Source organism: Homo sapiens, chromosome 19, assembly GCF_000001405.40.
Source record: "Homo sapiens chromosome 19, GRCh38.p14 Primary Assembly".
NCBI classification, from domain to species: Eukaryota; Metazoa; Chordata; class Mammalia; order Primates; family Hominidae; genus Homo; species Homo sapiens.
The window spans coordinates 2,205,525-2,227,620 of record NC_000019.10 but is presented as its reverse complement, the minus strand read 5'-3'; the positions used below and the strand labels follow the sequence as shown (position 1 = coordinate 2,227,620).

Below are 22,096 nucleotides of genomic sequence, written 5' to 3'. Positions count from 1 at the left end.
GCACCAAGCACAAGCAGCGGCTCGGCCAGGCTCGTGGTGGCCCGCCCTCCGCCCTCCGGCCCCCCGCCCCGCAGCAGCCCCAGGGCCAGGCCGCTCCCCCCGGCGGCTCCTCTCCGCCCTGTCTGGGCAGGCACTGCGGGGACTCGCTCTTACCCAACACCAGCTCCCAGAGCCTTGCCAGAGCCCGGGCGGCCACACCTAGCAGGTGACCTCCACGGGAGAAAGTAATGCTCTGGTGGCCCTGCGCACGGTGGCCTTCTGAAAACAAGAGGGACGCGGTTACAACCAGAGAACCCAAGACACACGGACTCAGCGTGAGCCCTCTCCCCACAGGACTGGAGTTCGCCACCGTGCACGGATGGCGGGGGCCGGCCGGCACCAGGGGACCTGCAGCTCAGCTCCTGCTGCAAGAGAGTGCGGAAGGGAACCTGCAAAGGAAGGGGCCTCCGGCGGGGGCCGGGGCGGGGGGCGGACGGACGGCCGCCCTGCCTACCTCCAACTGTGCCGCCTGCCACCCCGGAAAAGCTGCCCATGGCGTGCGAGTTGGTCAGTCTGGTGGCAGCGGACGACACGTGCACCAGGCCTGCGGCGGCCGGCACAGAGCTGAACAGCGACTGCAGCACGGAGGAGCCGGCCACGGAGCCGAGGTTGGCCTGCAGGGACATGGGGCCGAGCGCGAACTGCGGTCCCGGCGGGAAGGGGCCCAGGAAGGACCGGTGCGTCTGGGCGGAGGACGCCGCGCCGCCTGCGGAGGACGCCGCCGGGGCCAGGCCGGGGCCGCTGAGGAGGCTTCCGGGAGGCACGGCCGCCGCAGAGATGAAGAGGTTGTGGCCATTCTTGAGGTCGACCTCGCGGTCCCGGGCCTTGGCGGCCTTGCCGCTCAGCAGTGGGGTCTTGTCCGTGGGCCCGCACAGCGGTAGGCCGCCCTCCCCTGCCTCCTTGCCGCGGCTGCCCTCGCCCTTCAGCCCAGCCAGGCCGTCCAGCTGCCTCTTGCTCAGGAAAGGGTTGGCGTCCGAGCCCTCCTTGCCGCGCTGCGAGGGGAAGCTCAGCGGGGAGCTCAGGCCGGCCGCCTCGGGGCCCTTGTGGGGAAGAGAAGCACCATCACTGAAGCTGTGTAAACTCAGGTCCGCGGCCAGGCCCCCGCCGAAGGTGCAGCCGTTGGCAGGGTTGGTGCCCGGGCTGAGTCCGTCAGCCCCCGACAGGGAGCCGGGAAAGCCTTTCCTGGGGTGAGCGGCCAGCTTGGCATCGGCAGAGGGCTCCTCCAGGGCGGGCCGGAACGTGAACAGGGAGTTCTGGCTGAGGGCGGAGCTGGCCTGCAGCGGGCTGTCCGCCGACTTGGCCAGGCCGATGTCGGAGATGGGCGAGAAGGTGGACTTCCACTTGCTGCTATTGACTGGCTCGCCGGCGGGCGCGGGCTTCCTTCCCGCCAAGCCACCACCTGGCAAAGAGGAAAGGCAGAAGCCGTGAGCCCAGAGCACCTGCCCGGGCTACCCATGAGGCTAACCGGGGCTGCTGCCACGGCCCGGGCAACTCTGCAGGCAGGGCTGGTCACAGACACTCAAGATGCCAAGCGGGACAGGATGGGAGAGGACAGGAGGGAAGGGGACGGGAGGGGACAAGATGGGATGGGACAGGAGGACTACAGCACAGGATGAGATGGCAGGGGACGGGACTGGATGGGACAGGAGGGCGGAAGACAGGACAGAGGCAGCTGAAGCGGGTCTCAGAGGCCATGCGGGATGAGCTCTGGGGAAAATGCTGAGGTCAGCAGCCTGCGGGAGGGAAGGTGGGGCTGCCCCAGAGCAGGTCAGGGTCCTCACTGAGGACGCAGGCACCACTCGGGGGGAAGGCCAGGGTGCAAAGCAAACAGGGGACCCAAGGTGACGATCCCCGCAGGTCAGCCACCCACTGTGAGAGCATGGCGTGTGCGCGGAGGCCCTGGGCTGCAGTGAGGGCCTCCCAGAGGCAGTTCTGGAAGCCCAGCGCCCCCAGTGTCGGCGCCCACGCAGGACACGACGCAGCAGGCCAGCACCACGCAGGACACGACGCAGCGGGCCAGCACCATGCGGGACACGATGCAGCGGGCCAGCAGGTGGGTCAGCAGCACTGACTGGGCACCACGGCCACACGGACAGGCCTGGCCACGCCGCAAAACACTTGTTACTCACCATTTTCCAAGGTTTTCGGGGGAGATTTGCTTTCTAAGGAGATTGTTGCAATTTTTCTCTCAATTCTGTTAAGAAAAAAAGGTCATTAATGCTTGAAACCCAGCTGCATACTAAGAATGACACAAATGCTGACAGCCAACAGCCCAGGGAGCTCCGGAGGTGGTGAACGAGAAGCACTCGGCCCAGACAGGGGACCCGTGCAGCCACCCTGGGCCAGGCCTGGACTGGGTGGCTGGGCCCTGGGATCCACCCCTGTTGTGCCACAAGGGTACTGTCCTGGCAGGGACTCCAGGGCCTCTGCTGGGACAAGCAGCCAAGAGATCAGGCACAGCAGCTGAATGGGAGAAGCAATTTCCCAGCACACAGAAGTGTGAGAATCCCAGACAGAGCTCTCTTCCTACCTCCCTCTCCCGGCCCCTCTCAGACCTCGGTGCCTCAGGTGGCAAACAATGCCACAGCATTGCAGGCCAGCACGTGAAGACATGCCCAACCACACACTGCATGGGGTCGCTTTGATCCAATGTCCCAAGAACACACCAGGGACACACAAATTCCTAAAGATCCTGGAAACCACTAAGCTGAGCAATCCCAATGCAAAACAGAGCATCCAGGTGCTACAATGTTTCTCGTGTAACACGTGCACGCACACGTGGGCAAGGAGCAGAACGAACTAACACAGAACACCACCAAAAGCACACTTAGGGCCGGCTGTGATGGCGCACGCTGGGAGGCACTGGGAGGCAGAAGGCTTGAGGCCAGGAGTTTGAGACCAGCCTGGGCAACATGGCAAAACCCGATCTCTATAAAACAAAAAAACGAACGAGGCACGGTGGTAGCGTGTGCCTGTAGACACAACTACTCAGGAGGCTGAGGCAGGAGAATCACTTGAACCCAGGAGGCGGAGGGTCAGTGAGCCGAGATCGCGCCACCGCACTCCAGCCTGGGCCACAGACCAAAACTCTGTGTCTCAGGAAAAAAAAAAAAAAAAAAGCAAAAAACCCTACCATGTTATATCACTTCACGACGACTCGGATGGCTAGAATCAAAACAAGAAATTCAGTGTGTTGAGGATGTGGGGACTGAGGACCTCAGACCCTCGTGCACCCATGGTGGCAGGGTGGAATGGTGTGGCTGCTGGAGAGCCCAGGGGGCCGGGCCACCCAGCACCTCCGCCCAGGCACCAGGAAACGGGAAACTTGCTCCCAAACACAAACACGCACACCCATGGCCACAGCAGTGCTGCTCACAACCGCCCAGGGTAAGCAAGCCTAGCACGGAGGGCGGATGGATGGTGGAGCACCACCCAGCCACGACAGGGACCGAGGATGCACCTTGAGGACGTCACGCTCAGTGAGAGATGCCAGACACAAAAGGCCACATCCTGTGTGACTCCGCTCCTAGGAGGTCCCTAGAGCCCTCAGATTCAGAGACAGAAAGTAGGATGGGGGCGGGGGGTGCCAGGGGCTCTTGGGAGGAGAAGGGGAGTGAGTGTTTCAAGGGGATGATGAGATTTTCTCAGGACATGATGGAAGGTTCTGGATTTAGGCAGTGGTAATGTGGATATACCAAAGACCTCTGAATTGCACACTTTAAATGGAGAATACGATATGTGAATTTTATCTAATAAAGCTACTGTAATACACTCGGCAAGACGTGTGGATGAGACCTCCAACGCCTCACTGCTGAAGCTTCTCTCCTGCTGCGCTCAGCTCCTCCTCAGCTTGCCTCTTCTAACCGATGGCCCTGCTCGTGTCCCACCCCGAATGGCCCGGGAGGCCGGCCCTGCCCGGAACGGGGCCCAGGACCTGTGGGGAGGCCCCTCACAAAACAGACGCCTTCCTCCCATCCAGGGCACCCCCTAAGAGCCTGCCGGTCCTCCCCACCCACCCACCCACACACACACAGTGAGCAGGCACCTCCTGCCCCTGCTGCCAGGCCCCGCCCCCCTCCGGGCCCCTGGACTCGCCGAGCACTGCTGGGCTCGTCCTCAGAGCCTGGCTCCTCGTCTGAGGTGAGTGGGGAGTAGTGTGCCCCATTGGTCTGGCTCAGAGGCCGCTCCTTCTTGAGCACGGGGGGCTGGTCGTGGTCCTGGTAGGGCACAGGGGAGCTCTTCAGGGAGGTCTCCGGGGACGAGATGGCTGTAATCTCCAGGGGCTGGTTGATGTTACTGACCTGAGGGCAGACAGACACAATGGATGCACATACCACAGACCCGGGACCCCAAGGCAGGAGAGCCCCCCCGCCCCAGGAGGCTCCTGTCTGCACCCCAGGGTCTCCTGAGGAAACTGATGCCCTGCCCAGCGGCCAGTACAGCCCCTGTCCTGGTTCTTCCTGGTCCTCACACACCACCCCGCAATCCCAGAGCCCCCCATGCCCCCTCCTGATGTGCCCACCACCACTAAGGCCCCACAGCCGAGAATGAAGAAGCTTGCAGGCAGCGCATCGCACTCCGAACCCCAGAGACAGCTGTCGGCCGCCTCTTCCCAGGCTGCCAGGCCGCACGTGGTGGAGGATGGCCGGGCTCAGTCATGGCCCCCTGCCTCCACCTGTTTTTTTTTGTGTTTTTTTTTGTCCCCCCGAGAGGGAGTCTCGCTCTGTGGCCCAGGCAGTGGCCGATCTCAGTTCACTGCAAGCCCCGCCTCCCGGGTTCACATCATTCTCCTGCCTCAGCCTCCCAGGCACCCGCCACCACGCCCGGCTAATCTTTTGTATTTTTGGTAGAGACGGGGTTTCACCGTGTTAGCCAGGATGGTCTTGATGTCCTGATCTTGTGATCCACCCGCCTCGGCCTCCCAAAATGCTGGGATTACAGGCGTGAGCCACCGCGCCCGGTCTCCCTCTGGTCTTTCTTTCACAGGCCGCGCTCCCCAGCCCTGCCGGTCCCCATCCTTACCATGGAGTTGAGGTTGAGGGGAGACCCCGAAGGCTGTGTGAAAAGGCCAGCGACGGACGGCAGGGCTCGGCGCTTGGGGGACACGCCTGCGCTCAAGCTGGGCGTCCCCGCAGATGCTCGCTTCCGCCGGCCGCGCCTGCGACTGTCCTGCCCGTGGCTCGGCACACAGTCCCCACGGGCGCTGGCGGTCAGGGGGCTGTGCTTGCTGGAGGGCGACTGCTTGGCACTGCCCGCACCAGTGGTGATGGTGAACACAATCCTCCTCTTGGCTTCACTCTCAGGATCTGAGAAGCCGGAATCGGAGGGCAGGTCTCCCTTGCTGGCCTCGGGCAACGGGCCCTGGGCGGCCCCACCAAGCCGGGGACTGGAGGAGAGCTGGTGGGCGGGAGAGGCAGGAAGCGAGTTCCGGGGCTGTGCCAGCAGCAGGGGGTGCTGTGGCGTGGAGCTGCGGGACCCCACGGTGGCAAAAAGGCTCCCAGAGCTGGAGGACTCATCCAAGGTGGCCGGCTCGGCTCCAGGTGTGAGAGAGGCCGGGCTGCCCGCCAAGGCCCCGCTGATGGCCACCGAGCCAGCGTAGGAGAAGCCTGCCGGGAAGGACATGGGGGTCTCAGGGGACACAGGATGGCCAAAGAGAAAGCCTTGCTGTGGGAGCACCACCCCCTAGGAGCTCTGTGGGCTCCAGGAGAGGCGGGGAAGTGGGGAAGGGGTTGGGAGTCTGAAAACGGCCCCTCTGGGGTGGAACCAGAAGGCTCTGTGGGCAAGCTCAAGGCTCAGGGCTGACCCTGTGCCTCCTCCCGCCCATCTGGGCTGCCTGTGCCCTGCAGGTCCCGGCTGAGACGCTGCCTCCCAAGAAGCCTCCTGGTGCGGGCTCCCCGCTGAGCTAGGCTTCCTCTGAGTAAGTTGCCCTCTGGCCCCGTGATCTCAGAGACACCATGAGGAAAGCCCATGGCTGCGTGGCCTCCCTCCCTCCTGTTCTCAGAAGACAACTCAGCTTGGATACTCCAAGCTATGGCCGCCTTGAAGGCCGCAGCCATGCTTCCCAGCCCACGATGAGTGGTGCACTTCCATGACCACCCGGGGACAAAGGGCGGCCTCCCTGCTTCTGCCAATGAGGCCTCAGTGCAGGGGCGCAGCAAGGCGCTTCTGGAGTTGGCTGTTTGCCACCCAGTTGAAAATCTCCTGAAACTGTCACTGCCTCTCGCAGAGCAGACCTCACCCCAAGGGCACAACCCAGCCCTGCGAGGGCAGAACTGCCCGGGCTTCGGTGGCCTCTCCAGGGCCCTCACGTGGCCAACCGTGAAGCCTGCCCAGCCTCCCTAGAGCCCCTCCTGTCTCAATAGCGGCCATGTACATTTTACTTGTTTTGTTGTTGTTTTGTTTTTGAGATGGAGTTTTACTCTTTTTGCCCAGGCGGGAGTGCAGTGGTGCGATCTCAGCTCACTGCAACCTCCACCTCCCAGGATCAAACGATTCTCCTGCCTCAGCCTCTCGAGTGGCTGGGATTACAGGCGTCTGCCACCACATCCGGCTAATTTTTGTATTTTTAGTACAGACGGTGGTTTCACCATGTTGGCCAGGCTGGTCTCAAACTCCTGTCCTCAGGTGATCCGCCCACCTCGGCATCCCAAGGTGCTGGGATTACAGGCATGAGCCACCACGCCCGGCCACATTTTACTTTTTACTCCTAAAAAAGTAGCTGCCGCATCATACCGCATCTCAACCTGGGGCCAGCAAACCAGCCTGGGGGTCTCATGTCCTCTGCTGTTTTAAGTACAGTTTTGCTGGCACACAGCCATGCCCGCTGACATGCTGTCTCTGCGGCTTCCACAACAGACAGGCCTGCAGTGTCAACAAAAGCCAAAGTGGCATCCTCTCTGGCTCTCTGCAGAAACTGGGCTAACAGCAGAGACTGCTCAGGCGGCACCTTCTCAAGGAACCAGAAACCATGCCGCTACCAGCACGGAGGCCCACGGTCGTGTGCCATTGGGCACTGCTGTGTGTGGAGCCGATCCTGAGTCAGGGGCCTCCCAGCTGTGAGTACAGGAGCCCCCGAGAGCACTGGGGCCGACCTCACGGGCTGAATTAATACACCCAAGCAGGAGGTGTCAGTGTCGGGAGACCCAGGTATGAGGCCGAGATGGCTGCAGCTGAGCCCGATCCGCATCCCAGCTCGTGGGATGCAGGAAAGGGTGTCAGTAATGAGGCGTGGCGGTTTGGGGCAGCAGCCCCCATGATCACCCCAGGAAGCCCTGTTCCACTCCCAGCAACCCAGCCCTCCTGCCTGAAGAGCAGCAGCAGCAGCAGAGTCCTGAGGGTAGGGCACAGGAGGGGCGTTACCTGCGGGGGCCAGGGCAAGGCTTCTGCTCCCAGCACCGTGGGCATTAGCACCAATCTGCTTTTCAAGTGTGGACGAGGGGTCACGGGGCTGCAGCACGGGACTGGGGGTGCTCCTCTGCAGAGAGAAAACCCTGTGTGTCAGGGGCAGCAGGTGCCCCAGGAGACCCAGAACCCAGCTGGAAACAGTGAGTGTTGAGGCCTGCAGCTGGCTGGGGGAGGCCGCCGGGGTCACCGTCCAGTACCGCGTGGGAAGAGGGCAGCGGGGGAACTTGAGCGGGGCCCCAGGCGAGTGGCGCAGCGAGAGTGCGCGGTGCCTGCGTGTGAATGGGCAGCGGGCCTGAGGCAGGGAGGTCAGGAGGCGGGGGTCCCGGGGTCCAGCTGTGGGGAGGGGGTACTGGGCACAACCCAAGCAACCCACAGCCCGCCCTCACCGGGAAGCGGCTGTGTTCTCCAAGCAGCACAAATGCCAGCAGTCGGGTGGGGTGAGGAGGGCGCTTGCGAGAACACACCTGCCGGCCACCACCCACTGCACTTCCCCACACCACACTCCAAGTCCAACAAAGGTCAGTAGAGTGACCGCAGAACCCAGTAGCTCCACTCCCACATGGGCCAAAGAGCAAACCTACATCCACACAGAAACCTGGACCCCAGCGCTCACAGCAGAACGATTCACAATCGCCAAAACAGGGAATCAAGCCGGGGTCCATCAACTGGGCACGGATGAAGATGGCACACTCCATCCACACAGGGAATGCCCTCACGTGCCAAGAGAAGGGACAGGCCCAGACATGAGCGTGTTCGGGGGCCCGGGGGCTGGGGGACGACTAGGGAGTGACTGCTGAGGCGGGCAACGCTTTTTCCCGGGTGAAGAAAATGTCCTGAATTAGACAGAGGTGTATAAAAGTACAAAAAACCGGCCGGGCACGGGGGCTGACACTTGGAATCCCAGCACTGTGGGAGGCCGAGGCGGGTGGGTCGACTGAGGCCAGGAGTTCGAGACCACCCTGGCCAACAGGGCAAAACCTCCACCTCTATTAAAAATACAAAAATTGGCCGGGTGCGGTGGCTCATGCCTGTCATCCCATCAATTTCGGAGGCTGAGGTGGGCAGATCACCTGAGGTCAGGAGTTTGAGACCAGCTCGGCCAAGATGGTGAAACCCTGTCTCTACTAAAAATACAAAAATCAGCTGGGCATAGTGGTGCATGCCTGTAATCCCAGCTACTCGGGAGGCTGAGGCAGGAGAACTGCTTGAACCCAGCAGGCGGAGGCTGCAGTGAGTAAAGATCACAAGATCGTGCCACTGCCCTCCAGCCTGGGCAACAGAGCAAGACTCCGTCTCAGCTGGTGGGGGCGGGGATTAACCGGGCGTGGTGGTGGGCACCTGTAATCCCAGCTACTCGGGAGGCTGAGGCAGGAGAATGGCATGAACCTGGGAGGCAGAGATTGCAGTGAGCCGAGATCACACAATTGCACTCCAGCCTGGGGGACAGAATGAGTCTCCATCTCGAAAAATAAAAAAAAAGAAAGAGGCCAGACGTCGTGGCTCACGCCTGTAATCCCAGCACTTTGGGAGGCCCAGGCGGGCGGATCACTAGGTCAGGAGATCAAGACCATCCTGGCTAACACGGTGAAACCCCATCTCTACTAAAAATACAAAAAATTAGCCAGGCGTGGTGGCGGGCGCCTGTAGTCCCAGCTACTCGGGAGGCTGAGGCAGGAGAATGGCGTGAACCCGGGAGGTGGAGCTTGCAGTGAGCCGAGATCGCACCACTGCACTCCAGCCTGGGCGACAGAGTGAGACTCCGTCTGAAAAATAAAAATAAAAAATAAAAAATAAATGCTAAAAACCACTGAAGCATATACTTGAAGCGCACAATTTTTAAAAAATAGTTCAATGCCCAGAAAATCCCGCCCATGCTACACAAGACGAGATTCTCTGCATGCACAGCGCTGGGTGGGAGAACCCAGAGGCAGCTGTGAGGACAGGGGCCACGGCAGCCAATGTGGCCTCGTGAGGAGTGAGGCTGGGAGCCAGGGTGGGCCTCTGAGCTCCTCCTCAACCCAGAAGGTGTGAGGCCCTCTCCACTTGCACACGTACCTTTCACCCAAAAGAAAAAGACTGGCGAAAACAACGGCCCAGGTCACCGGACACGCCCCGGCTTTGGACAGCCCACCTTGACTGCATTGCCTCACGCTCGACATTTTACAGCGTGAGACTTCGCAAAGTGAGCCAGGTCTCGAGCACCCCAGACTGTTTTGCCTCAACGTGGCCCTTGGGGACAGCCACCTGGGAGCCACTCACCGCCCTCTCGGCGCGGCTGGGCAGCACCACGCTGGCCAGGGGAATGCTGACCGGGAGCTTGTTGGGCTGCACGGTGCTGAGCGGGATGCTGATGGGCAGGCTGGTGATGAGCTCCCCGCTGCTGCCGTAGGCGCGCTCTCTCAGGCCCTGCAGACGAAGGCCCGACCCCCAGTCGTGGGTCAACAAACCCCTCCAGGACACAGGGACCACAGCCACAGGACGGGGGCCTGCTACAGCTCTCTCAAGGCGGCCCCCACGCTGCCAAGGCCCTGCAACCTTCCCCACGCAGTCAGGCCCTCCTGGACACCGGCTTTGGGACACTCCAGAGGGACGGCACGCTCCTGGTGTCTGAAAGCAATGCCCATCTGTCCCCTCCAGCCTGCCCGCCCGGCTCGGTGGGCAGTCACCCGTGGGGCCACCAAGCCTCCCAGGGCCCACATCCATCACTGCCAAGTCCATGCAACGTCACCGTCCTTCCCTCTCCATCCCTGTGCACACAGGCCAGTGCCCCCGGGGAAGTCCTCATGGGCAGCGGCCTCCCAAACTGGGCTCTGTGTCTCTACCAGCACTTGCCGTCCGTCACTGAGAACTAAGAGGCATCAGGGACACCCTGACAAACCCCATGTCCTCCATGGCACCTGCCCAACGTCACCTGTGACCTGTCCTTACTGGTTGCCCCCAACTCTGCCACAACATCCTACTCCAGGTCAGCCCCAGTACCTCACCGTGCCCCAAGGTCAACTAGGACAAGCCCTCCTGCTAGCAACTCGCTCAGGCCGCCTCTGCTGAGCACCTCCCTGAGCCCGGGGCAGGGGTCGCGGCCCGCACCTTCTCACTGCTCTTCTCTCCAGCAAGCTGCAAGGCCCCAGGGGACAGGGGCCGCGGGTCCTGAGGGCTCAGCTTCATGCTGCCAGGCACGCTGGGGCTCTGGTAGGGAAGGCCGTTCTCCTTGGTGTGCTCAGCTCTGGAATGAGAAGCTGCAGTCACTCTCGAGGGCCGTGGGCTGGCACTCAGAGGCAGCGGCCTGGCCCAGCACCTCCCCACCTCAGTCTCCTCAACAAACACACTCCTGCTGAGAACCCGACAGCCTGAGCACACCAGGCAGAGTCGGCAGGTACCAGCTGCAGACCCCCAGCCCCACCAGGGCACTCACCTCGAATGCAGCTCACTGGCAGCCGGCCTGCCGGGCACCGTGTGGTCCTGGCTCAGGTGCCGCCTCAGCACAATCTTGGCCGGGGACAGCCTAGTGTAGTCGGGTGCGGCTAGGCCAGACAGCTTCTCCAGGCGCGGCCGGCCGACGTGGCTAGGGGTACAGGGCACCACCTCCTGGTCCAGGGGTGAGGCCAGGTACTGGGGCGTGTTCTGCTTCGACGAAGGCCGGCTCAGCACACCGCAGAGCTCATAGCCAGCAGCCTGGCCGTTCATGGAGAGCTCCGGGCTCATGCTGCTCAAGTGAGGCAGCGAGAACTTGGTGCAGTCCAGCTCCAGGTGCAGCCGGCTGGCGTCAGGCTCCAGCTCGCGGCCCAGGGCGCCCTTCCCACGCAGGTGCAGGGACAGGGCGTCGTCAGGCGGCACACAGGACTTGAGCTGCAGGAGCTCCTGCTGCCGCTGGCTCTTCTCTAGCTCCACAATGCTGATCTGCAGGAGGAGAGATGGTGTCAGGCCCGCCCCACCGGGGGACCACTCCAGGGAACCAAGACTGCCACAGATGGACACCCGGAGGGGTGGCCAGGACCCCCGCTGCTTGTGTGGGATGGAAAAACCAAAGCTGCCGACCACATAGAGGCGGGGTCGGGAAGCTGGGGGCGTCAAATAAAGTCATGTGGAGGGCCGAGGATGGTTTTTGCTGACATGGAAGCACCTTCTTCAAAAAGAGCAACAGGAAGATACAAAGAGCTCTCGTCTCTCAAAATAGACTCTAAGTGTAAAACATCCAGTTTCACTAAGTGTAAAACCTGTGGAGGGACACGCCACTCGAGCGTGGCAGCTTCCCCGGGCGCTGAGTCTGAGAGGGGCTTTTTCCTTTTAGTTTATCTGTTCTGTTTACCTGCTTTCCTTTCTTTTAACAAACACATTGTTTTTTTATTACACAGAAAAGATGATGACAAAAATGGTCAGAACCCAAATATGCTCTTCCCGAGGGCTCTACTCCAGGCAGACCCACAGGGCCCGGCTGTGGTAAAGAGGTCGGCGACCTCCGTTTCTCTAATGTACGCTGGTGAGGCTCGCCTGGGCCACACACGTGAGGGAGCAGCTCGGGAGCACGTGAGTGGTGCTTCCCGACGTCCGTCAGCCGCCCGTGAGAGCCCGCCTCCGGGGACAGCCTTGCAGCAACGGTTTGGTGCAGTCATTTGAAAAGGCAGCAGAGGTCCAGCGACAGGGCACCAGGTCCATCAACAGTGAAACCACGCTGGGGACACGTAAGGTGAGCAGGCGGGCACAGTGTCGACGGGATGGGGCTCTGGGAACAAAGCCCGTGACCTGCTGCTTTCTAGGCTGCACGGCAGCTGTGGGCACCGCCCACCAGCACCTGCCTCTGCCTGGGAGCAGGGAGGAGAGCACCTTCCCGCTGCACACCCTCCTCCACACTTCCTCTACTCGGCCTCCACGAATGCGTTTCTCGGTGTCAGAAAGTACAAGCTATTTTATTTTTCAGATGGGGCCTGGCTCTGTCACCCAGGCTGGAGTGCAGTGGTGCAATCTCAGCTTGCTGCAGCCTCCACCTCCCGGGCTCAAACACGGCCCTTTTTGCCTCAATATGGCCCTTGGGGATGCCATCCTGGGAGCCAGAACTCCTGCCTCAGCCTCCCTGGGAGCTGGGACTATAGGCACACACCACCACACCCGGCTAATTTTTGTATTTTTGCTAGAGACAGAGTCCCACTGTGTTGGCCAGGCTGTTCTCCAACTCCTAGCCTCAGGTGATCTGCCCGCCTCAGCCTCCCAAGGTGCTGGGATTACAGGCATAAGCCCCTGCACCGATCCAGCTGTTTTTCTAATGAGCAAATTCTCCCCTATGACTGTTACAGAAATGATTTGCAAGGAGGCAGCCAGGAAATCAGGAAATCCTAGGTTAGCGCTGCGCATTCAGCCAAGCAATCCCGAGATGCCCCCGAGAGCTGAGGGCTAGAGTGAGGCAGAGTCATCCACACGGGCAGCCTGCGGCCCAAGACAGAAGGTTCCATAAGCCTCCACCCAACTGTCCTCCTCCACCTTCTTCCTAGGCTGCTGCAACCGCAACCACCCTAGGCTCAACGACGTCACAGGGAGGCTGATGGGAGAGGCTCGGACACCACGGAGTGCAGCCTCGCGCGCAGCCCACCTGCAGCTCCAGGCAGTGCCTCTGCTTCTCCGAGATCTGGCTCTTCAGGGCCTGCTTCTCCTTCAACAGCTTCTCCAGCGACAGCGTGGCCCAGTCCAGCTGCAGCTCCTCGCAGCGAGCCTTGAGCTGAGGGGATAGGGATGGGACAGTTGCGACTGGCTGGCTGCCTGCCCAGCACACCCCACACTCTCAGGGCAGGGTTCCCTGGGCCTGCCTCAGCCAACAGCATGTGTGCTTAGGGCACAGACCCCGTTTCTGGAATAGCAGGCTGAGGATGCGGAACACGCGGAGACTGGGGCCCCCCACGGACAGATGAGGCAGCTCCAGCACCCACACCACGATGGTGGGATGCTCGCATGACCCCACACCTCGAGCCTGCCAGAGTGTGGCTCCATGACACCCAGGGCCGCTGAGAAACCATCCAGCCGAGGGGCCCAGGCCTGCCTGCTGTGACGCGCTCGACAAGCTTTCACAGGTGGCGCAATTCGTCTGGGAACAAACCCCACAACAGAGGCGGGCCTTCCAGAGCCTCCCACCCGCACAGAGGACACACCCGCCCAGGCAGGGCCCCTCTGGTTCCACGTCCCTGTCCTTGCGCCGCGGCACCCACCAGCTGCAAGCTCTGGCCGCGGAGCGCGCGGTTGTCCTGCTCCAGCTGCTCCGACTGCTCCCGCAGCTGCTGGTTATGGGCGGAGATCTCCTTCTGCGCTTGAATCAGGTCGTTGTAGGTCAGCGCCTTCACACCCAGCTGGGGACATGGGGCGGGGGAGAGGTCATGCTGGTGGCCTCCAAGGTGAAGTAAGCCCCCAGGCATGACCACCCCTGCAGCCCAGCCCCTGGGACACAGCTGGACAGAGGCATAGACAGGAAGCCACAGGAAGCCATACCGACGGACATGGACCACCCCAGCCTGCGCCCCAGCTGCCACCTGCCACCTGCCCTCTGGGGTCCACTACCTCATCCAATTTTTGCTGAAACAGCCTCCTGATCTCCTCCTTCTGGGCCTGGCAGTGGCTGAGGAGCTGCTGAGCCGCACCCAGGAGCTGGGCGTTCTTCTCCTGTAGGACAAACAGGGCAGGTGACTAAGGGCCAGGGCAGGTGACTGAGGGCCCACAGGGAGGGCCCACGCCCTGCCTCTCATGCTTCCTGAAGACACGCTCAAGGACAGACATGCCTGAGGGGACCCACACCGGGCTGAGATGTCAAGAAATACTCAGGCCACGGCGGGAGGGGACCAGCTCTGCATCAGGTTCACTGCAAAGAACTCTCGCCAGCTGGAGGGACTGCACCTGCCACCCCACCTGGACTCAGCCAGGGCAGCGCCCCCAGCCACGCAGAGGCCGGCCAATGCCAAGGAGTTTATCCCAAGGCAATACCAGGGGATGGACTTTTCACATGGATCTGCAAGGAAGCCTTCTGCAGCGTAACAGCAAACACTCAGTGTCCGGAGGCCCACCTCCAAGGGAAGACCCCAGGAGCCACTGACACAGGACAACCTTCAGACACCAGCAGAGAACAGGGCCCCGGCCCAGGCATGCTGTCAGCTACACAGTGAGCAATGCATGTGCATATATGCTCAAAGCACGCTGTAAGCTTTTTTTTAAAAGCAAAGCCAAAGTCCAAAATGCAAACCAGGGCTCAGGGACAGCCGACCTTGTGGCTCCAATGGCTTTTGGAGTTATCTCTGGGCCGCCAGAACTTCCACCCCATAGCCCGGCCCTAGCTCCCCACTAAAGCAGGTCCTCGGAGACTCCCAGGGCGGGGCCCCACAGCCGGGACCTCAGGTGAAGGAAATCATGTATACAGTGGTCCATTTCCAGGACAAACTGCCTTGAATTGGCTTAGGTCAGCAAACTACAGAAGAGACAGCATGTACTAGGCCCCTGCTTGGATCGCTGATGCCTGCTTGTCAGCCTCCCCTGCCCCCGCTTCCCCCGGCTTAGTTGCCCTCACCCGAACCAAAGAAGTTTAGCCTAAGATGAAGGTTTACCAGCCTGCAAAAGAGCTGGCTTTGTCTGTTCTTAATCAGCCTGCCCAGCTACTTAGATCATAAGTCAAATACTTGAACAGTCCCTGAGCTGACTGGGATTGCAATGCACAAAATGCAGCAGGACAACCCTAAAGAAAACACCTACAACCGGGCGTGGTGGCTCATGCCTGTAATCCCAGCACTTTGGGAGTCCGAGGCGGGAGGATCACGAGATTAGGAGATCAAGACCATCCTGGCCAACACAGTGAGACCCCGTCTCTACTAAAAATACAAAAAATTAGCCGGATGTGGTGGTGGGTGCCTGTAGTCCCAGCTACTTGGGAGGCTGAGGCAGGAGAATGGCGTGAACCCGGGAGGCGGAGTTTGCAGTGAGCCGAGATCACACCACTGCACTCCAGCCCCTGCCGAACCAATAGGCGACAACTGGGAAGACTGTGACCTCACAGTACTCAGCCTTTGAGGAACCGGGGGAGGGACCTGTGCACTAGGGGGAAGGTTGCTTGTTCAAACTGTGCTGGGTGTGCCTATCAGACACCAGGTCTTGCAAAACCATGATTAAAAGTCTCATTTTCGCTGTTTTCCGGGTCTCTCAGTCCATTCTTTGGGTTTAAACGGGTAGGTTTGTTTCTCGCAGCAGGTGAGCAGAGGAGGGAGCCCACTCAGGCCTGCGCTCCAGGGCCTCTGCCACAGGGGACAGATGCCCAGGAACAGGAACGAACTGCCTCTGTGCGGGAAGGCGGAATGCCAAGGGGGCCAGGACCCACCTTCTCCTGGCCCAGCAGCTCCTGCAGGCTGGCCTTGTACTGGGGGGTCTTTGTGTATGCCAGGAACTGCAGGTACTGGATCTTGAAGGACTCTGGGAAGAGAGGCGGAACACAGGTGAGAAGAGAGCAGCTGAGACTGAGAGGGAAGAGGTGGGAGCAGCCCTTGAGAACGAGTCCCAGGCCTCGGCAGGTGTCAGGCACTCATGAGGCAGGAGCTCAGCAGAGCCTGGCGGGGCCCATGCCACACGCCCCAAGCTCGCAGAGCACTCAGGCCCTCTGACCCCTGCGCAGCCAAGTGTTCACCGCGTGGGGCCATCCTGGGCACTGCAAGGCCCTGAGCAGCATCCCTGGCCTGCACCCACCCCATGCCAGCAACATCCCTAAGTTATGACAACTGCAGACGTCCCAAGTGTCACCCAGCATCTCCTGGGTAAGACCTCAGACAACCCACAGGCTGCATCTGAGCCTCTACTGACCCCTGCAGCAGGCAGACCCCAACCCTGGGTAAACTTCAGTGGGGTCCAGCATGGAGGTCACGGGGGCTGCTGCGAGGTCAGCGTCACAACCCACGGTCCTCCTGGGATGACCCCAAGCCCAGAACCCTTCGCCGGACGCCTCACACGGGCTCACCTAGAAGCTTCTGCAGCGCGGGCGGGGTGGGCGCCACCAGCAGCGGGTTGGGGGAGTGCCGCTGCACGCTCGGAGGTAGCTGGTAGAACGGGCTGTGAGGGGATCTGTAGGCATCTGGGAGAGCGGAGGGCAGGCGTCAGCACAGGGCGGGTCGGGAGAGCGGTGGGCAGAGGCGTCAGCATGGGGCAGGTGCCCAGCAACCCCTTAGGATGGGGCCACCCTGAAGGCACAGCCACAACAGGGAGGCTCCAGGGACACCCTGAACACACGGGGCTCAGGAGGGCAGCGTCCCAGCAGAGGGGACCCCAGGCATCCGCACTCGGGGAGAGCGGGGGCCGTGGCGTGGGGGCGGCTCACCCTGGGGTGAGGAGGCCGCCGTCTGAGACACGGTCTGAGCGTGCAGGGCATCCAGTGCAGTTTGGTTCTTCTTGGGCTTCCGCTCGGGGTTCGCAGTGTTCATCTTCTTGGGGCGCCCGCGCTTGCGGCCAGCCATCTTCCTCCCCTTCTTGTTTAGCTTCTTCTTGCGGGCTTTGGAGGGAGACGGCTTCTTCACGGTGGCTGCTCCCGCCTTCTCTTCCTCAGCACCAGAGTCCTGGAGGACACAAGGGAAGAACAGGGATGGGCACAGAGCCTCCCACCCATGGGGTCTCCCGGGCAGGGGGCGGGTGCCCTCCAGCAGCAGGAGCCAGGCTGGGGCCTTACCATGGGGGCGTCGGCGGGGCCGGCCACCTTGCCCTCTGGGCCCTTAGTGGGCGTGGCCGCGTTGCTCTTGCTCTCGCGCTGCTGGCGGCGCCGGGCTGCCTCCTGTTCCTCCTGGAAGGAGAGCAGGTTGAGCCACAGGAAGCCCCAGCGCTGCCCACGGCCCTCCTGCACCGAGAGGCACGCGGAGCTCAGACTCAAGGGGGCCACGGGCCCAACTCTGTCCACTGCAAGTCCTCTGTGGCACAAATCAGGAAACTGAGGCCCAGAGACAGCAGTGGGCTGCTTGGGGCCCCGCAGGCCAGGACGTGACCCGTGGGCACGGATAACGGCATTCACAGCCACTCCCACAATCACAGATGCCTGTCAGTAAGAAGCCAGACTGTGAGCCACAGAGAAAAAGAACCACATCCAAGACAGGAGACGAGAAGCCCCTCAGGCAGCAGGACCTAGAAGCCACAGCCCACAGCCTCCCCTGCCCTCTCTCCTCTCTTCGAAAGGCACCGAGGCCCACACATGGGACGCCATGCACAAGTTCTCTGATGTGAGTTAGTGGAGGGCGCGACCCACGGGAAGGGGAACACAGGGTGCGCCGGCCACCTCGGGCCGTTCCCTGCTCTCCAGGGAAGACCCACATCCCCCTAAGCATGGTGGGAAGGACAGAGGGCCCCCGAGGGGTACCAGGCTCTGAGGCCGGGTTGGAGCCCAGCCCTGGCTACAAATCCAGGCAGTGACAGAGCCCTTCCTGTACGGGGTTCTCCGCATGCTGGTCTTGTCTGACCCCCTCCAAAAGGAAAGGACGCCCGGACAAACATCCTCTCAGCTTTGGTGGCAAATAAGCAGGCAGGTCTGAGGCTGCAGAAGCGCCAGCGGGCAGGGCGGCCACTGTGGCTCCCCAAGCCAGGCTTTCCCACCGCTGCTTTAAGGTGGGAGAGGAGGGGACAGCCCTGCCTCCGACGGTGCAGCGCGTGCAGGGCGCGGGGGCCCAGGAGCTGCACTCTGCACCGAGGGTGGGACAAGCGCACATGTGTGGCCCCCCAGGCCTCAAGAGGGGGCAGCCAGCAGTGACGCACAAGCTTTTCACCCACCCAGCCCTTCAGTGCAACTCACCCCACCACCAAAACTAAGCCAAGCCACCTCCCCAAAAATAAGTATTAACAAGGGGAAGGATGTCCCAGGCCAAACCATCAAAGACAAGGCAAAGCATGAAGACAGGCAAAGAGACAGAGAGAGGGTGGGAGAGAGAGAGAAACGGAGAGGGAGGGTGGGGGAGAGAGAGAGAGATTGAATGGTGAGAGAAAAGGGCTGGGAGAGGAGAGGAAGAGGGGGAGGACAGGGAGGAAAGGGTAGGGAGAGGACCAGGAGTGACAGTGGGGAGGAGCAGGAAGGAGGCGGGAAAGGGCACAGGGCCGGGCCCCGAGGGGCGGCAGGGCTGTGCTCCAGTCGTGGCTCCTGAACCCGGCTGCGCACGGCTTTGCATTTCCCCACATCAGTGCATGCGTGTTATTAACCCAAGAGAAAAAACACACAAACTTACCCTGAGTTTTGGGTTTTTCAGACTAGAAAAATAGTTTTCAAGCTAAAAAGAAGAAAGAGAACCCTGATTAGAAGGGAGTCCCAATCTCTGTTCGGATTTGTCTGGACACCCAGGTAACAACAGCAACCTGGACAGTGGCTGGGGAGGCTGTTCTGGTATCTGGGGACAGCAGGCATGCAGCTAGAGCCCCCCAGTGGCAAACGCGGATGTGACTAACCCAGCTGTGGCCAGGCGTCACCCTCAATTCACCAGCACGCGACGGGTGGGCGGGGCTGGTTTAAGCCTTCAGAACAGACACAGGGCCCTGGGATGTGTCTCTGCTTCTGGAAGAGGGAGGGCTTTCTGCACAGAAGAACCGCGCCCGCCTCAGAGGAGAAGGCGAGAGGCTGCGCCGAGGGCGTCAGTGCCAGGGCAGCTGAAGCAGCAGCACTGCGTGGAGGTGGGGGCCGCACGGTAGGCCAAGCCCCCAGAGCCTCAGCCTCAGCTCACCATGCCTCTCGTCCCAGGGCCCTCGGGGGAGCAGTGGGAGGGCGGGGTGCATCTGCCTGGGGCTGTCGGTCCCCAGACGGCACCAGCGCTCCCCAGGCAGGCTCTAGTGGAGGCTCCGAGCACTGGACAGTGAGGGTGCAGACACACCAGCACCACCGTAAGGAAAACCACCGCTACCCCAACAACAGGAACAGAGTGCCCAACCAAAGGACGGGAAAGAGACCAGGGGAAGCCTCCCAGCCCTGGAGGGCTGGCGCTGCCCACATGCCAGGAGGCTCGGGATACTCGTGCCCGGGGGGGAAGCACCGTGGGAGGCAGGCAGGCCGCACACTGGCCCAGGGCTGTGTCAGAGGACCCTGGGGAACACAGGGAGGGAAGAAGCATCCCAGACCCCACCCATGGACCCTGGTGTCTCCCCGCTCAGGACCCTCTCACATGGAGGAAGCTGGGAACAGGGACGTGGGACTCCTATCCACAGGGGCCTCTGGATATGGCGGCCGGGACCCTTATGGTCACACATCACTCTGATGGCCCCGCCCCACCCCAGGAGCTGAGCGTAGACTAGGGGAGACAGCACTCAGCCCTCACCCAGGACACGCCCAGTGCCTGGGAGGACCCTGGTGGGTCCTGCGGTGCAAGCAGTACTGAGGGGCCTTGAGGAGCTGGGCCTGAGCTCAGGGGCCGGGGGGCGTTGAGGGCTCTGAGGGGAGGGTCTCAGAGGCCACATGAGAAAGGAGAGAGCAGTGTGACGTGGGCGGGGTGGAAGACCAGGACGGCCCTGCGGCTGAGGCGCAGCGAGATACTCACTATGGTGCGGTCGATAGTGTGCAGGTAGTAGGAGACTGGCTTCCCCGTCCACGACACCGAGCCCTTCAGGGGCGAGAGCTCCACCACGCGCATGATGGTGCCGATGTCTGCAGGAGCCACAGGTGAGGCCGGGGCCTGCGCCTGCCCACAGCCCCTCCATGCAGACCTCACCCACCCCAGGGCAGGCGTGGGGACAGAAGCCTGAGCTGCGCGTCTTCCCTCTTCTCCCACACTGCGTCAGGCCACAGTGGCCCACAGAGGCCGGCCCAGGGAGGTGCACCATTCAACACCACCTGGCCTGGGCCCCTCCAACCTCAGAAAAACAGCCACAAACCCAGCTGAGTGGAATGGAAAAGGAGGGGGAGAAGATCTGGAAGCGACTTAGATCACGGCTGCAAGAACGGCCAGCATCCAGCAACACAGGCACCTCCCGGGTGGGCGCTCCTCAGGGAAGCCCCTCAGAGGAGGCCGTGCTGCCCCGCAAGGCTGGGAGCTGACAGAGCACGCAGCACAGTAAGGCAGGCAGGGGGCATGGGAGGGGCCGGCTCCTTCCCACCGTGGGCCTGTCTCTGTCCACAAAAGTCCTGTAAATCCTTCACGCCTCCCCTCGAAGCCGGGGTCTCCCCGAGGAGTGATTCTACCCCCATGGCACACAGTGCTCTATGGGGACGTGTGTGGTTGTCGCGACCAGGGGTGCTCCTGGCATGGAGTGGGTGGACACCAGGGACGCTGCTCAGCACCCTGCACTGCCCAGGACAGCCCCACCCCACAGAAGGATCCAGCCCCAGTGTCCACAGGGTCAAGGAAGAGGGACCTAGGAATACTGCGTGTCAGATGGTTAAAATTACCCGTGTTCATCATTAACAACATGAGAGTTTCTTACCACTCAAGTTTCTACTGTTTATTCTGAAGTTCAGAGGTGCAAAGGGTTTCGAGGACACGATTCTGCCACCTGAAACACAGACACTGCTTACTGCCACACAGGAGAGAGGAAACAGAAGAGCAGACACCACTCAAGGTGACAGAGAAGGAACAATGACACGGAACACACACACACTGGGCTCCGGGTCCTGTCCACCTGCCTACAAGCAACACTAGGAAACACCTTCCAAGTTGAAGCCTATTCTACAAATAACTTTTTTTTTTTTTTTTTTTTTTTGAGACAGAGTCTCCCGGCTCACTGCAACCTCCACCTCCCTGGTTCAAGCGGTTCTCCTGCCTCAGCCTTGCGAGTAGCTGTGATTACAGGCGCACACCACCACACCTGGCTAATTTTTGGATTTTTAGTAGAGAGCGGGTTTCACCCTGCTGGCCAGGCTTGTCTGGAACTCCTGGCCTCAAGTGAGCCACCACGCCCAACCTCCTACAAATAATGCTTCTTTAAAAAACATTCTCGGCGCGGTGCAGTGGCTCATGCCTGTAATCCCAGCACTTTGGGAGGCTGAGGCAGGTGGATCACCCGAGGCCAGCCTGGCTAACAGGGTAAAACCGTGTCTCTACTAAAAAAATACAAAAACTAGCCAGGTGTGGTGGCGCACATCTGTAATCCCAGCTACTCGGGAGGCTGAGGCAGGAGAATCACTTGAACCTGGGAGGTGGAAGCTGCAAGTGAGTCGAGATCGCGCCACTGCACTCCAGCCTGGGCGATAGAGAGAGACTCTGCCTCAAAAGAAAAAAAAAACCCACTACGCTGCCAGGCGCACAGGCTCACGCCTGTAAACCCAGCATTATGGGAGGCCAAGGCGGGCAGACTGCCAGAAGTTCCAGCCCAGCCTGGGACACAGGGAGACCCCATCTCTACAAAAAATTAAAATAAAAAATTAGCTGGGCATGATGGTGCATGCCTGTGATCCCAGCTACTCGGGAGGCTGGGGCAGGAGGATCACTTGAGCCCAGGAGGTCAAGGCTGCAGGGAGCTATGATCACACCAGTGCACTCCAGCCTGGGCCAAGGATGAAGACCCTGTCTCAAAAAAAAACAAAACAAAAAACTAAGGTTTGAGAGGCAGGAAGAGCAAACCCCCAAGCCGTACACAAGCAGGAACAAAATCTAACTGTAGATGCAAACTGGAAACAGTCATGCGAAAAGAATTATTTCAAATACCTCTGAACCCTGGGATTCTAACTGACTGTCAGTGATAAATGCAAAGACAAACA

At 61.1% G+C, this 22,096-nt stretch overlaps 1 protein-coding gene and 1 long non-coding RNA gene across 8 annotated transcripts in view, besides 2 other annotated features; one reads left to right on the top strand and one right to left on the bottom strand.

The window, feature by feature from the left end:
- Positions 1 to 22,096, bottom strand: part of DOT1L (DOT1 like histone lysine methyltransferase) — a 68,646-nt gene that overhangs the window by 4,958 nt on the left and 41,592 nt on the right. For 5 of the 7 annotated variants that reach the window (NM_001411141.1, NM_032482.3, XM_047439514.1 and 2 more), the window contains 18 exons: positions 20,824 to 20,892; positions 19,941 to 20,047; positions 18,645 to 18,686; positions 17,111 to 17,221; positions 16,766 to 17,000; positions 16,409 to 16,522; positions 15,779 to 15,870; positions 13,981 to 14,082; positions 13,635 to 13,772; positions 13,025 to 13,150; positions 10,856 to 11,340; positions 10,531 to 10,666; positions 9,703 to 9,849; positions 7,399 to 7,513; positions 5,062 to 5,645; positions 4,135 to 4,340; positions 2,169 to 2,233; positions 494 to 1,438 (listed from right to left, as the gene is read on the bottom strand). In NM_001411141.1, the coding sequence (NP_001398070.1) occupies positions 494 to 1,438; positions 2,169 to 2,233; positions 4,135 to 4,340; positions 5,062 to 5,645; positions 7,399 to 7,513; positions 9,703 to 9,849; positions 10,531 to 10,666; positions 10,856 to 11,340; positions 13,025 to 13,150; positions 13,635 to 13,772; positions 13,981 to 14,082; positions 15,779 to 15,870; positions 16,409 to 16,522; positions 16,766 to 17,000; positions 17,111 to 17,221; positions 18,645 to 18,686; positions 19,941 to 20,047; positions 20,824 to 20,892 (3,819 nt within the window). The remainder of the gene's footprint in view (positions 1 to 493; positions 1,439 to 2,168; positions 2,234 to 4,134; positions 4,341 to 5,061; positions 5,646 to 7,398; positions 7,514 to 9,702; positions 9,850 to 10,530; positions 10,667 to 10,855; positions 11,341 to 13,024; positions 13,151 to 13,634; positions 13,773 to 13,980; positions 14,083 to 15,778; positions 15,871 to 16,408; positions 16,523 to 16,765; positions 17,001 to 17,110; positions 17,222 to 18,644; positions 18,687 to 19,940; positions 20,048 to 20,823; positions 20,893 to 22,096) is intronic. The other 2 variants (XM_011528359.3, XM_047439515.1) reach the window with 1 other exon arrangement.
- Positions 1,252 to 1,758: an enhancer, noted in NCBI's record as "H3K27ac-H3K4me1 hESC enhancer chr19:2225862-2226368 (GRCh37/hg19 assembly coordinates)". NCBI's record gives its function as "activates a minimal SCP1, AML or CMV promoter by ChIP-STARR-seq in primed H9 embryonic stem cells {active_cell/tissue: H9 hESC(primed)}" and the evidence as "EXISTENCE:reporter gene assay evidence [ECO:0000049][PMID:30033119]".
- Positions 3,580 to 3,639: a silencer, noted in NCBI's record as "silent region_9773". NCBI's record gives its function as "represses an Ori minimal core promoter by ATAC-STARR-seq in GM12878 lymphoblastoid cells {active_cell/tissue: GM12878}" and the evidence as "EXISTENCE:reporter gene assay evidence [ECO:0000049][PMID:35858748]".
- DOT1L-AS1 (DOT1L antisense RNA 1) lies at positions 12,056 to 15,593 on the top strand. Its single transcript, XR_007067087.1, has 2 exons — positions 12,056 to 12,127; positions 12,927 to 15,593. It is a non-coding gene; the product is annotated as a DOT1L antisense RNA 1 (long non-coding RNA).